The 14,484-nt window shown below is 45.4% G+C and overlaps 1 long non-coding RNA gene across 1 annotated transcript in view; it reads right to left on the bottom strand.

Annotated features, from left to right (window-relative positions):
* LOC107985340 (uncharacterized) overlaps window positions 1-14,484 on the bottom strand; it is a 47,653-nt gene that overhangs the window by 18,040 nt on the left and 15,129 nt on the right. The gene's annotated exons all lie outside the window — the stretch shown is intronic.

Below are 14,484 nucleotides of genomic sequence, written 5' to 3'. Positions count from 1 at the left end.
AATGTTTTGTGGGTTTTTTTTTTGTTTTTGTTTGAGATGGAGTCTCGCTCTGTCGCCCAGGCTGGAGTGCAGTGGCGTGATCTCGGCTCACTGCAAGCTCTGCCTCCCGGGTTCACGCCATTCTCTTGCCTCAGCCTCCCGAGTAACTGGGACTACAGCAGGCGCCCGCTACCACGCCCAGCTAATTTTTTTCGTGTGTGTGTGTGTGTGTGTGTGTGTGTGTGTGTGTGTGTGTATTTTCAGTAGAGACAGTGTTTCACCATGTTAGCCAGGATGGTCTCGATCTCCTGACCTCATGATCCACCCGCCTTGGCCTCGCAAAGTGCTGGGATTACAGGCGTGAACCACTGCACCCGGCCATGAATGTTTTTATATCTGTGGGTAAGTGCTTAATCTGGGTAAGGTGAGTGGAAGAGTTTTCATAGGTGGACAGACTTTTTGCACAGCTAAGAAGAAACCATCCAGGCATTTAATAACAGCATGGGCTGCCAATAGGTAGTGTAGTCTTGAAGAATCCCCAACACATAAGTCAACTGCTTGATCCAACAGTTATCCTCACAGTAGTCCCAGGAATTCTGCTGAGGAAGTGTGTATAAGTCTTATGATGCTCAGAGTCCTGGGCCCCACTGGAGTTGAATACAAAGAAAGACCATAAACATCTAAAGCCACAACCCAACTCACTCAAACTCAATGACAACATCAAAGGAACTAGTCTGATGGCAGGTGCAGAAGGTTGGGGCATCAAGGGCGAAGTGAGCTCTCTTAATTCCATGTGAAGGTGGAGAAAAATTTAATTAAGACTGTTCCCAGCCCCAGCTCAACTCAACTCTTAGAAAAATCTAAATAGCCCTCATCCTAGCCGACTTTTGGGATAAAAGGCATGAACTCATTGAAACTAAACAAAGTAAACAAATAACATGCGTTTTTTCTTCTACATACAATATCCAGCATAAAATTTAAAATAATAAAACCAAGAAAATGTAACCCATGACCAAGAGAAAAATGACTCACAGATCATCCAGACATTAGAATTAGCAGACAAGAGCTTTAAAACAACTTACAAATATGTTAAGGAATTTAATAGAAAGCGATGGTTTTCAATATTCAGAAAGATATTGAAACTCTAAAGAACCTCATGGGAATTCTAAAACAAAAAGATGAAAGTTTCACTGGATGGGTTTAATATGGACTGGAACCAGTGGAAGAGAGGATCAGCTTGAAGATAGCTACATAGAAATTAAAGTGAAGCAGAAAGAGAAAAAGAATTAAGAAAAGCTAAACATAGTATCAGCGACCTGTGAGACTAATATATGTATAATTGGAGTTTCAGAGGGAGAGGGGAGAGAAGCAGGGCAGCAATTATCAACCTAAATAATGTAGGACTCAACCACAGGCTGTTTTCAAGAGATGCCCTTCATAAAGACACAGGTTAAAGTAAGAATGGGGCCAGGCACGGTGGCTCATGCCTGTAATCCCAGCACTTTAGGAGGCCAAGGCAGATGGATCACCTGAGGTCAGGAGTTCGAGACCAGCCTGGCTAACATGGTGAAACCCTGTCTCTACTAAAAATACAAAAAATTAGCCAGGTGTGGTGGCACATGCCTGTAATCCCAGCCACTTGGGAGGCTGAGGCAGGAGAATTGCTTGAACCCGGGAGGCAGAGGTTGTAGTCAGCCAAGATCGTGCCACTGCACTCCAGCCTGGGCAACAAGAGCGAAACTCCGTCTCAAAAAAAAAAAAAAAAAGGAATGGAAAAACATACCATGCAAACCAATGAGAAAGCTAGTGTGGTAACATTAACATCGAAGTCAAGCAAGTAACACTACAGATTAGGAAGAGGATTTCATAATGATAAATGAGCCAATTCAGCAGGAAGCCAGAATTATATAAATGTTTATGCAGCTCATAACAGTTTCAAAATAGATAAAAATTTTCAGAACTCCAGCAAGAAACACATAAATTCATAATCATAGTTGGATAACACTTTCTTTTCAGTAGCTGGTGGAAAAGATAGAAAAAAAAAAAACATTTAAAATACAGGGAATTGGCCAGGCACAGTGGCGCACACCTGTAATCCCAGCACTTTGGGAGAATGAGGCAGGCGGATCACTTGAGGTCAGGAGTTTGAGACCCACCTGGCCAACATGGCAAAATCTCATCTCTACTAAAAATATAAAAATTAGCTAGGTGTGGTGGCATGTGCCTGTAATCCCAGCTACTCAGGAGGCTGAGGCAAGAGAATCGCTTGAAGCCAGGAGGTGGAGGCTGCGGTGACCCAGCCTGCACAACAGAGACTCTAAAACAAAAGGAGCACCATCATAGATCTTGATGACATCAAAATAATAATGGAATATTATGATCAAAATTATACCTATAAGTTCAACTTAAACACCTTGCAAGGTACAAATTACAAAGACTGATGCAAGTAGAAAATCTAAATAGCCCCATTTCTGAGTTTAAAAGTTAAATTTGGCCAGGCGCAGTGGCTTGTGCCTGTAATCACAGCACTTTGGGAGGTGGGTGGATCACTTCAGGTCAGGAGTTTGAGACCAGCCTGGCTAACATGATGAAACCCCATCTCTACTAAAAATATAAAAATTAGCCGGGCGTGGTGGCAGGCGCCTATAATCCCAGCTACTCGGGAGGCTGAGGCAGGAGAATAGCTTGAACCCAGGAGGCGGAGGTTGCAGTGAGCTAAGATCACGCCCTCCAGCCTGGGCGACAGAACGAGAGACTGTCTCAAAGTATATTAGCAAATTTAATCCACAAACAAAGTGGATACAGTATAAGCAAGTGGTTTTATCCCAGAAATTAATGTAACTTATTACATTAATAGATTAAAGGGAAGAACCATTTGACAAAATTCAACACCTATTATTGGAGGAAAAAAAACCTGCAACAAACTAGAAATACAACAGAACTTCCTCCATGTGCTGGGCAGAGATTCTCTACCTGAACATGATGGGGATTTTGCCCAGAAAATTCTTTGCTGGGGTGGGGAGAGGCTGTGCTGTGCATCCTAGAATGCTTGGCAGTGTTCCTAGCCTTCACCCTCAAGATGCCAGCATCAACGCTCCCCACTCAGCTGTTTGTGACAATGAAAAATGTCACATGACAGGCCAAGTGCAGTGGCTCACGCCTGTAATACCAGCACTTTGGGAGGCCGAGGTGGGCGGATCATGAGGTCAGGAGATCGAGACCATCCTGGCTAACATGGTGAAACCCTGTCTCTACTAAAAATACAAAAAATTAGCCAGGCGTGGTGGCGGGCGCCTGTAGTCCCAGCTACTCAGGAGGCTGAGGCAGGAGAATGGCGTGAACCCGGGAGGCGGAGTTTGCAGTGAGCCGAGATCACGCCACTGCACTCCAGCCTGAGTGATAGAGCGAGACTCAGTCTCAAAAAAAAAAAAAAAAAAAAAAAAAAAAAAGTCATATGACATTACCAAATGTCCCTGGAAGAGGTGGGAAATCACCCTCGGTTGAGAATCATTCATTGTGTTAAGGATATTAACAACAATGACAAAAGCTACAGCTAACATCATACTAAATGATGAAATACTGAATACTTTCCCCAATACTGAAAACAGGGAAGGGAAATCCCTTTACACCACTTCTGTTCAACACTATAGTGAAGTTCCTAGCCAGTGAAAGAAGGCAAGAAAAAGATATAAAAAGCATAGAAACTGGCTAGGAAGAAGTAAAACTGTCTTTATTCACAGATGTCATAAGCATGTAATTAGGAAATCCTAGGGAATCTACAAAAATAAAAAGCTACTAGAATAAGTGCACTTAGGAAAGTCACAAAAATAAAAGCCAATATACAAAAATAATCACATTTCTGCATACTAGCAACAAACCATAGTTAAGTGAAATTTTAAAAACAAAACCATTTACAATAGCCTCAAAAATCAAATGCTAAGACTATATTTAACAAAAGATATTCAAAAATCTCTATACTGAAAACTACAAGGTATTTTTGAGAGAAAAACCTAAATAAATGGAAATATTTGTTTATGAATTCAAAGAATTGGTGTAGGCCGGGCGTGGTGGCTCACGCCTGTAATCCCAGCACTTCGGGAGGCCGAGGTGGGTGGATTACTTGAGCTCAGCAGTTTGAGACCAGCCTGGCCAACATGGTGAAACCCTGTCTCTACTAAAAATACAAAAAAATTAGCTGGGCATGGTGGTACACACCTGTAATCCCAGCTACTCAGGAGGCTGAGGTAGGAGAATCGCTTGAGCCTGCGAGGCAGAGGCTGCAGTGAGCCGAGATCGCACCACTGCACTCCTGCATGGGTAACAGAGTAAGACTCTGTCTCAAAAAACAAGATATCAGTTCTCCCCAAATTGATCTACAGATTCAACACAATGGCAATTCAGATCTCAGCCAGGTTTGTTGAGGAATTGACAAGCTGATTCTAAAATGTACATGAAAATGCAAAGGACCGGCCGGGTGTAGTGGCTTATGCCGGTCATCCCAGCACTTTGGGAGGCCAAGGCAGGAGGATCACCTGAGGTCAGGAGTTTGAGACCAGCCTGGCCAACATGAGGAAACCCCATCTCTACTAAAAAATAATTAGCCAGGCGTGGTATCGGGTGCCTGTAATTTCACTTAGGAGGCTGAGGCAGGAGAATTGCTTGAACTCAGTAGGCAGGGAGGTTGCAATGACCTGAGATCACACCACTGCACTCCAGCCTGGGCAATGGAGCAAGACTCCATCTCAAAAAAAAAAAAAAAAAAAAAATGCAAAAGACCTAAAGTAGTCCAAACAATCTTGAGAAAGAACACGTTGGAGACTCATACTATCGAATTTCAAGATTTACTATAAAGCTACAGTAGTCAGGGCAGTGTTATATTAGCCTAAAGATAAACCAAAAGATCAATAGAACAGAACAGAAATCCACCTATACACATATGACCAATTGATGTTCAGTAAAGATATCACAGCAATTCAATGGGTAAGGGAAAGTCTTTTTAACAAACAGGGCTAGAACTACTGTATAGCCATATAGAAAAATATAAACATATTCCTGCCACATACCATACCCCCACCCCAAATTAACAGGAACCAAAGACCTAAATTCAAAAGCCAAAACTAGAAACTTCCGGAAGAAAACATAGAATATCTTTATGACCTCGGGCTTAGCAAAGATGTTCTATATTAAATGTAACAGGCCAGACACAAATGTCTATGTATTGTGTGAATCTATTATCTATGAAACCCAAGAACAGGTCAGACTTATATGTAGTGATGGAAATCAGTCATTGCTTCTGGGGTGAAGAGAAAGGAACCCAAAGTAACTCTCTGGAGTGACGGAAATTGGGGCATTGGTGACAGGGGTCATTTGTCAAAACTCATTAAAGTATACATTTAGTATCTGTGCTTGTTGTCTGTAAATTATAGCTCAATAAAAACTGAGTTTTGGCCAGGTGTGGTGGCTCACGCCTGTAATCCCAACACGTTGGGAGGCCAAGACAGGAAGATCGCTTGAGCTCAGGGGTTTGAGACTAGTCTGGGCAACATAAGGAGACCGTGTCTCTACAAAAAAAAAAAAAAAATTAGCTGGTCATGGTGGCACATGCCTGTGGTCCCAGCTACTCAAGATGCTGGGCGTGAGGATCGCTTGGGCCCGGGAGGCCAAGGCTGCAGTGAGCTGTCATCACGCCCCTGCACTCCAGCCTGGGTGACAGAGCAAGACTGTCTAAAGGAAAAAAAAAAATAGCCGGGGCCAGGCACGCTGGCTCATGTCTGTAATCCCAGCACTTTGGGAGGCCGAGGCAGGCGGATCACGGGGTCAGGAGATCGAGACCATCCTGGCTAACACAGTGAAACCCCGTCTCTACTAAAAATACAAAAAAATGAGCCGGGTGTGGTGGCGGGTGCCTGTAGTCCCAGCTACTCGGGAGGCTGAGGCAGGAGAATGGCGTGAACCCGGGACCTTGCAGTGAGCCGAGATCGTGCCACCGCACTCCAGGCTGGGTGACAGAGCAAGACTCTGTCTCCAAAAAAAAAAAAAAAAAGGAAAAATAGCCACGTGTGCCTAATAGCTATCATGCTGGACCATTGCAGCCCTAGAGGAGCAGCCTCCTGAGTGCTCTGCCCTTTATTATATAAAGCCTCTCAAACTGCAATGGGGGCCAGGTGCGGTGGCTCACACCTGTAATCCCAGCACTTTGGGAGGGCCGAGGCAGGCGGATCACCTGAGGTCAGGAGTTTAAGGCCAGCCTGACCTACATGGTGAAACCTCGTCTCTACTAAAAATGCAAAATGAGCCAGGGTATTTTTAAATTTTTAGTAGAGATGGGGTTTTGCCATGTTTTGACTGAGATGGCTTCCAACCAGAACAGAAGACAGCTGAAAGTCTGCAGCATTTAATTAAGCGAAGTAGGCCGGGCGCGGTGGCTCACACCTGCAATCCCAGCACTTTGGGAGGCTGAGGCAGGAGCATCATGAGGTCAGGAGTTCATGACCAGTCTGGCCCACATGGTGAAACCCTGTCTCTACTAAAAATACAAAAAATTAGCCGGGCGTGGTGGCAGACACCTGTCATCCCAGCTACTCAGGAGACTGGGGCAGGAGAATTGCTTGAACCCAGGAGACGGAGGTTGCAGTGAGCTGAGACCGTGCCATTGCACTGCAGCCTGGGCAAAGCGAGACTGAGAGCGAGACTTGGACTCAAAAAAAAAAAAAAAAAAATTAAGCACAGATTTACGGGCCAGTGACTCCATTCCCAAGCATAGGAAAGTTCTCACACAAACCCTAGAAACGGATGGTTCATCGTGATCATGTTTGGATCACGTTTGTGATTACAAGAAGCTGTCTCATTATTTAGGGAATCAAATATAAAATGTGGATCTTAAATGCATGCTATGGAGGACGGTGCAGCAGTCAAGGACAACAAACCAAGTCTACCTGAGTAACCGACGGCCACACTAAATCACCGTAACAACTCTCACCACTGTGGGGTGCTGAGCCCGGCGCAGTGCACCCATGGAGTCCTAGCTACTCAGGCTGAGGTTTGAGTCTGAGGCTGTAGCCCATGAGGACCATGCCTATGAATCGCCACTGCACTCCAGCCTGGGCAACAGAGTGAGACCTCATCTCTCTACAAATAAAACAAGGCCAGGCACAGTATCATCCCAGCACTTTGGGAGACCGAGCCAGGCGGATCACCTGAGGTCAGGAGTTCAAGACCAGTCTGGCCAACAGGGTGAAACCCCATCTCTACTAAAAAAAATTTAAAAATTTGCCAGATGTGGTGGTGCATGCCTGTAGTCCCAGCTACTTGGGAGGCTGAGGCAGGAGAATTGCTTGAACCTGGGAGGTGGAGGTTGTGGTGAACCAAGATCACCCCACTACACTCCAGCCTGGGCAACAGAGTGAGACTCTAAATAAATAAAAATAAGAAAATAGAGGGTAACGTGCCCAGAACCGAACCTGGCATGTAGGTCCTCTCTAGCTCACCGTCATGCTTGGTCCTTACTCGGGGTCGAGTTCCTTGCCCACTCGGCACTGGGAGGTGGGTCACCTGCTTTCCCTGGGCCACGGCCCAAGAAGCCTCAGAGAACTTGGACCTTACTGTGTTGTCAGTGGGAGGGGGTGACATCACCTGCGTCTTTGAACGTCAAACGGGGTTAAGGCAGCTCGGGGCAGGGGAGGCATCTTCTAGAAGCCATACTGCTCAGTGACTTCCTGGGCAAAGACCCCTTCATCCCCACAAAGTTCATGGCCTTGGAAAAAAAAAAAAAATCAATGCCAGCTTCCTGGTTCCCGACCAATTCCCAAATCTCCACCTGCCCCTCACACCTTTTTATTTACCTTAGAAGTCTCTAAACGTTTGTCACACTCCCCTATTAGATAACAACTTTCTGAAAAAACATCGCAAACAAACATCGAAAATTTACGTTGTGATCTACTGTCATTCTACACACGGTATCAGTGAAGCTTATTTTGCTTATTTTTGTTTAAAAAATAGAAGCAGAAGTCGTCAATTTTTCTTCCTGCATCCCCAACGTAACCAATTCTACAGCCCAATTTAGAGAGCCCTGAGAGCTCAGAGGCAAAGGCCCACCACCCCCTGGGCCCCTTCCTCCTCCTCCCTCGCTCTCCAGGGACTTTGGGTCTGGGATGTCCCAGCCTGGGGAACGGCTGTGTGGAATAGGGGTGGGGCTAAACTCTAGCAGGGAGAGAAGAGGCTGGGACCCCCTCCCCACCCTCACCCCCACCCCTTTTGTCTCCTCTCAGAGCCAGGACAGACCACCAGCCACCAGGAACTGCAAATCACCTGGGCTGTGGTGGAAGGAAGGTAAAATCCAACGTGGGAGATGCTTCCTAAGTCACTTGAGCTCCGGCTCCAGTGGAAAAAAAAAAAAGAAAACAAAAAAGAAAAACAGACTAGGCCAGGCGCAGTGCCTCACATCTGTAATCCCAGCACTTTGGGAGGCAGAGGCAGGCGGATCACCTGAGGTCTTTTTTGTGTGAGATTAGGGTGGTGACACGTATGGGCACTGAGAACACTGTTCCAAGTGCTACAGGAAGCCCCAGTGCCCTTCTTAATACTTCACAGGGGGCTGGGCACGGTGGCTCACGCCCGTAATCCCAGCACTTTGGGAGGCCGAGGTGGGGGGATCACCCGAGGTCAGGACTTTGAGACTAGCCTGGCCAATGTGGTGAAACCGCATCTCTGCTAAAAATACACAAATTAGCCGGGTGTGGTCGTGGGTGCCAGTAATCCCAGCTACTCAGGAGGCTGAGGCAGGAGAATTGCTTGAACTCAGGAGGCAGAGGTTGCAGTGAGCTGAGATCACACCATTGCACTCCAGCCTGGGTGACAAGAGCAAGAGACTGTCTCAAAAAAAAGAAAAAGAAAAAAGAAAAACAGACTAGGCCAGGCGCAGTGCCTCACATCTGTAATCCCAGCACTTTGGGAGGCAGAGGCAGGCGGATTACTTGAGGTCAGGAGTTCGAGACCAGCCTGGCCAACATGGCAAAATCTCATCTCTACAGAAAATACAATAATTAGACGGGCCTGGTGGCGCATGCCTGTCATCCCAGCTACTCAGGAGGCTGAGGCACGAGGGTCACTTGAACCCAGGAGGCAGATGTTCTGGTGAGCTGAGATCACGCCACTGCACTCCAGCCTGGGTGACAGAGCAAGACTCCAACTCAAAAAAAAAAAAAAAAGCATATTGGAATAATTGGGAAAAACGAATAAGGTCTGTAGATAATAGAAGTAGATCGATGTTACTTTCATGATTTCAATGGCACTGTGGTTACACAGGTGAATGTCCCCGTTCTGGAAATACGCACTGCAGTATTTAGGAGTAAAGGGGCATCATGTCTACAGCTTACTCTCAAATGGGTCTGCTACATAATAGGTATTGTTATAATAAATGTGAAAGGCGGTGATGATAAAGGAAACACGGTAAGATATCACAATCAAGGACTCGAGGTGAAGGGTGACTAAGCTCTTATAGGGCACTCTTCATTTTATTGCACTTAGCTTTATTGTGCTTCACAGATACTGCATTTTTTTTTTTTTAACAAATCAAAGGTTTGTGGCAACCCTGCATTGAGCAAGTCTATCAGCACCATTTTTTTCTAACGGCATGCGCTCACTGTGTGTCTCTGGGCTGCATTTTGGTAATTCTCACAATAAAATTTTAAATCTTTTCATTATTATTATTTTTTTTGAGACAGAGTCTCACCCTGTGCCCTGGCTGCAGGGCAATTTTGTGATCTTGGCTCACTGCAACCTCCGCCTCTGGGTTCAAACGATTCTCCTGTCTCAGCCTCCCGAGTAGCTGGGATTTCAGGTGCCCACCACCATGCTCTGCTAATTTTTGTATTTTTAGTACAGACGGGGTTTCACCATGTTGGCCAGGCTGGTCTCGAACTCCTGACATTGTGATCCACCTGCCTTGGCCTCCCAAAGTGCTGAGATTACAGGCGTGAACCACCGCACCGGCCTCATTATTATTCTTCCATCTGTGATGGTGATCTGTGATCAGTGGCCTTTGATGTTTCTATTGTCACTGGGGCCACCACAAACTATGCCCATATAAAATGGCAAACTTAATAAATGTTGCGTGTGTTCTGACTTCTCCACCCACCGGCCATTCCCCCATCTCTTTCTCTCCTTGGGCCTACCTATTCCCTGAGACACACAATATTGACATTAGGTCAGTTAATAACCCTACAATGGCCTCGCAGTGTTCAAGTGAAAGGAAGAGTCACACATCTCTCACTTTAAATCAAAAGCTAGAAATGATTATGAGGAAGGCTCATCAAAAGATAAGACAGGCCAAAAGCTAGGCTTCTTGCACCAGTTAGCTAAGTTGTGAATGCAAAGGAAAAGTTGAAAGATATCAAAAGTACTACTCCAGTGAACACAAAACTAAGGAGTGGCCGCATGCAGTGGCTCACACCTGTAATCTCAGTGCTTTGGGAGGCTGAGACGGGTGGATCACTTGAGGACAAGAGTTCAAGACCAGCCTGACCAACATGGTGAAACCCCATCTCTACGAAAAATACAAAAATTAGCTGGTGTGGTAGCGCACACTTGTAGTCCCAGCTACTCAGGAGGCTGAGGAAGGAGAATTGCTTGAACCTGGGAGGTGGAGGTTGCAGCGAGCTGAGATTGTGTGCTACTGCACTCCAGCCTGGGCAACAGAGCGAGACTCTGTCTCAATCAATCAATAAAAAATAAGAAGTCAAACAGCCTTATTACCGATATGGAGAAAGTGTTGTCTGGACAGAAGGTAAAACCCTTAAGCCAAAGCCTAATCCAGAGCAAAGCCTTAACACTTTTCAGTTCTATGAGGGCTGAGAGGAGGAAGCTGCAGAAGAAAAGCCTGAAGCCAGGAGAGGTTGGTTCATGAGGTTTAAGGAAAGTAGCCATCTCCGTAAAGAAAAGTGCAAGGTGGCTGGGCACGGTGGCTCATGCCTGTAATCCCAGCCCTTTGGGAGGCTGAGGCGAGAGGATCACCTGAGATCAGGAGTTCGAGGCCAGACTGGCCAACGTTGCAAAACCCTGTCTCTATTAAAATTACAAAAAGAAAAAAAATTAGGCATGGGTGGTGGCGGGAACCTGTAATCCCAGCTACTCAGGAGGCTGAGGCAGGAGAATCACTTGAACCCGGGAGGCAGAGGTTTCAGTGAGCCAAGATCGCACCATTGCACTCCAACCTGGGCAACAAAAGTGAGACTCCATCTCAAAAAAAAAAAAGGTGCAAGGTGAAGCACCAAGTCCTGATGGAGAAGCTGCAGCAAGTTATCCAGGAGATCTAGCTAAGATCATTGATGAAGGTGGTTGCACTAAACAACAGATTTTCAATGGAGACAAAAGGCCTTCTACTGGAAGAAGATGCCATGTAGGACTTTCATAGCTATAGAGAAATCAATGACTGGCTTCAAAGCTTCAAAGGACAGGTGGGCTTTCTTGTTAGAGGCGAATGCAGCTGGTGACTTTAAGTTAAAGGCAATGCTCGGCCGGACGCGATGGCTCATGCCTGTAATCCTAGCACTTTGGAAGGCCAAAGTGGGCAGATCACTTGAGGTCAGGAGTTTGAGACCAGCCTGGCCAACATGGTGAAACCCTGTGTCTACTAAAAATACAAAAATTAGCCGAGTGGTACACACCCGTAATCCCAGCTACTCAGGAGGCTGAGGCAAGAGGATTGCTTGAACTCAGGAGGCAGAGGTTGCAGTGAGCCAAGATTGAGCCACTGCACCCCAGCCTGGGTGACAGAGCAAGACTCTGTCTCAAATAAATAAATAAATAAATAAATAAATAAATAAATAAAGGCAATACTCATCTATAATTTCAAAAATGCTAGGGCAGCTGGGCACAGTAGCACACACCTGTATTCCCAGCACTTTGGGAGGCCAAGGTGAGCTGATCACTTGAGGTTAGGAGTTCGAGACCAGCCTGGTCAACATGGTGAAACCCGTTCTCTACTAAAAATACAAAAATTAGCCAGGCTTGGTGGTGGGCACCTGTAATCTGAGCTACTTGGGAGGCTGAGGCAGGAGAATCACTTGAACCCCGGAGGCGGAGGTTGCAGTGAACCAGGATCACACCACAGCACTCCAGCCTGGACAACAGAGTGAGACTCCATCTTAAAAAGAAAAAAGCTAGGGCCCTTAAGAATTATGGTATATCCATTTGACCCAGCAATTTCATTGCTGGGTATATGCCCAAAGGGTTATAAATCATTCTGCTATAAAGACACATGTACACGTGTGTTTCTTGCAGCAGTATTAACAATAGCAAAGACTTGGAACCAAGCAAAATGCCCACCGATGGTAGACTGGATAAAGAAAATGTAGCACATATATACCATGGAATACTATGCAACCATAAAAAAGGATGAGTTCATGTCCTTTGCAGGGACATGGATGAAGCTGGAAACCATCATTCTCAGCAAAGTAACACAGGAACGGAAAACCAAACACCACATGTTCTCACTCAAAAGTGGGAGTTGAACAATGAGAACACATGGACACAGGAGGAGAACACCACACACTGGGGCCTGTCAGGGGTGGGGGCAAGGGGAGGGATAGCATTAGGAGAAATACCTAACGTAGATGACAGATTGATGGGTACAGCAAACCACCATGGCAAATGTATACCTATGGAACAAACCTGGGCTGGGCGCGGTGGCTCACGCCTGTAATCCCAGCACTTTGGGAGGCTGAGGTGGGCGGATCACGAGGTCAGGAGATCAAGACCATCCTGGCTAACACAGTGGAACCCCGTCTCTACTAAAAATACAAAATATTAGTTGGGCGTGGTGGTGGACACCTGTAGTCCCAGCTACTTCGGAGGCTGAGGCAGGAGAATGGCATGAACCCGGGAGGTGGAGCTTGCAGTGAGCTGAGATCGCGCCACTGCACTCCAGCCTGGGCGACAGAGCGAGACTCCATGTCAAAAAAAAAAGAAGAAGAAGAAGAAGAAAAGAACAGAAAAGAAGGTCAAAGCAAAGCAAACAAAAACAAAGTGGGGAAAGGCCACACTATTCAACAAATGGTGCTGGGATCATTGGCAGCCACATGTAGAATGAAACTGGATCCTCCTCTCTCACCTTATACAAAAATCAACTAAGATGGATCAAGGACTTAAATCTAAGCCCTGAAACCATAAAAAATCTAAAAGATATCATTGGGGAAACCCTTTTAGACATTGACTTAGGCGAGGATTTCCTGACCAAGAGCCCAAAAGCAAATGCAATAAAAACAAAGATAAATAGCTGGGTCTTAATCAAACTAAAGAGCTTTTGCACGGTAGAAGGAACAGTCAGCAGGGTAAACCGATCAACCACAGAGTGGGAGAAAATCTTCACAATCTACACATCTGACAAAGGACTAATATCAATATCCAGAAACTACAACGAACTCAAATTAGCAAGAACAAAAACAATCCCATCAAAAAGTGGGCTAAGGACATGAATACACAATTCTCAGAAGAAGATATGGAAATGGCCAAGAAACATATGAAAAAATGCTCAACATCACTAATGGTCAGGGAAATGCAAATCAAAACCACCATGAGATACCACCTTAATCCTGCAAGAAAGGTCATAATCAAAAAATCAAGACATAATAGATGTTGCCATGGATGCGGTGTGACACTTCTGCACTGCTGGTGGGAATGTAAACTAGTACAGCCACTATGGAAAACAGTGTGGAGATTCCTTAAAGGACTAAAAGTAGAGCTACCATTTGATCCAGCAAAACCACTCCTGGATGCCGGCTGCGGTGGCTCACGCCTGTGATCCCAGCACTTTGGGAGTCTGAGGTGGGAGGATCACGAGGTCAAGAGATCAAGACCATCCTGGCCAACACGGTGAAACCCCGTCTCTACTAAAAATACAAAAATTAGCTAGGCGTGGTGGCGTGCACCTGTAATCCCAGCTACTCAGGAGGCTGAGGCAGGAGAATTGCCTGAACCCGGGAGGCAGAGGTTGCAGTGAACCGAGATCACATCACTGCACTCCAGCCTGGTGACAAAGCGAGACTTCATAAAAAACAAAAAAAAACAGAAAAAACAAAAAACAAAAAACAACACCCACTCCTGGGTATGTACCCAGAAGAAGAGAAGTTGTATGAAAAAGATACTTGCACACACGTTTATAGCAGCATAATTTGCAATTGCAAAAACGTGGAAGCAACACAAATGCCCACCATCAATCAACAAGTGGATAAGGAAACTGTGGTGTGTATATATATATATATATACACACACACACACACACACACACACACACACATATACACACATATATATACACGTATATATATACACACACATATATACACGTATATATATACACACACACATATATATACACGTGTATATATATACATATATATGTGTATATATACACATATATATACATATATATGTGTATATATAGATACATGATGGAATACTACCTAGCCATAAAAATGAATGAATTAATGGCATTTGCAGCAACCTAGA

This window comes from Homo sapiens, chromosome 19, assembly GCF_000001405.40.
Source record: "Homo sapiens chromosome 19, GRCh38.p14 Primary Assembly".
In the NCBI taxonomy this organism is placed as follows: Eukaryota; Metazoa; Chordata; class Mammalia; order Primates; family Hominidae; genus Homo; species Homo sapiens.
Note: the sequence above shows the minus strand (reverse complement) of the source record. Positions and strands in the feature narration are given on the sequence as shown.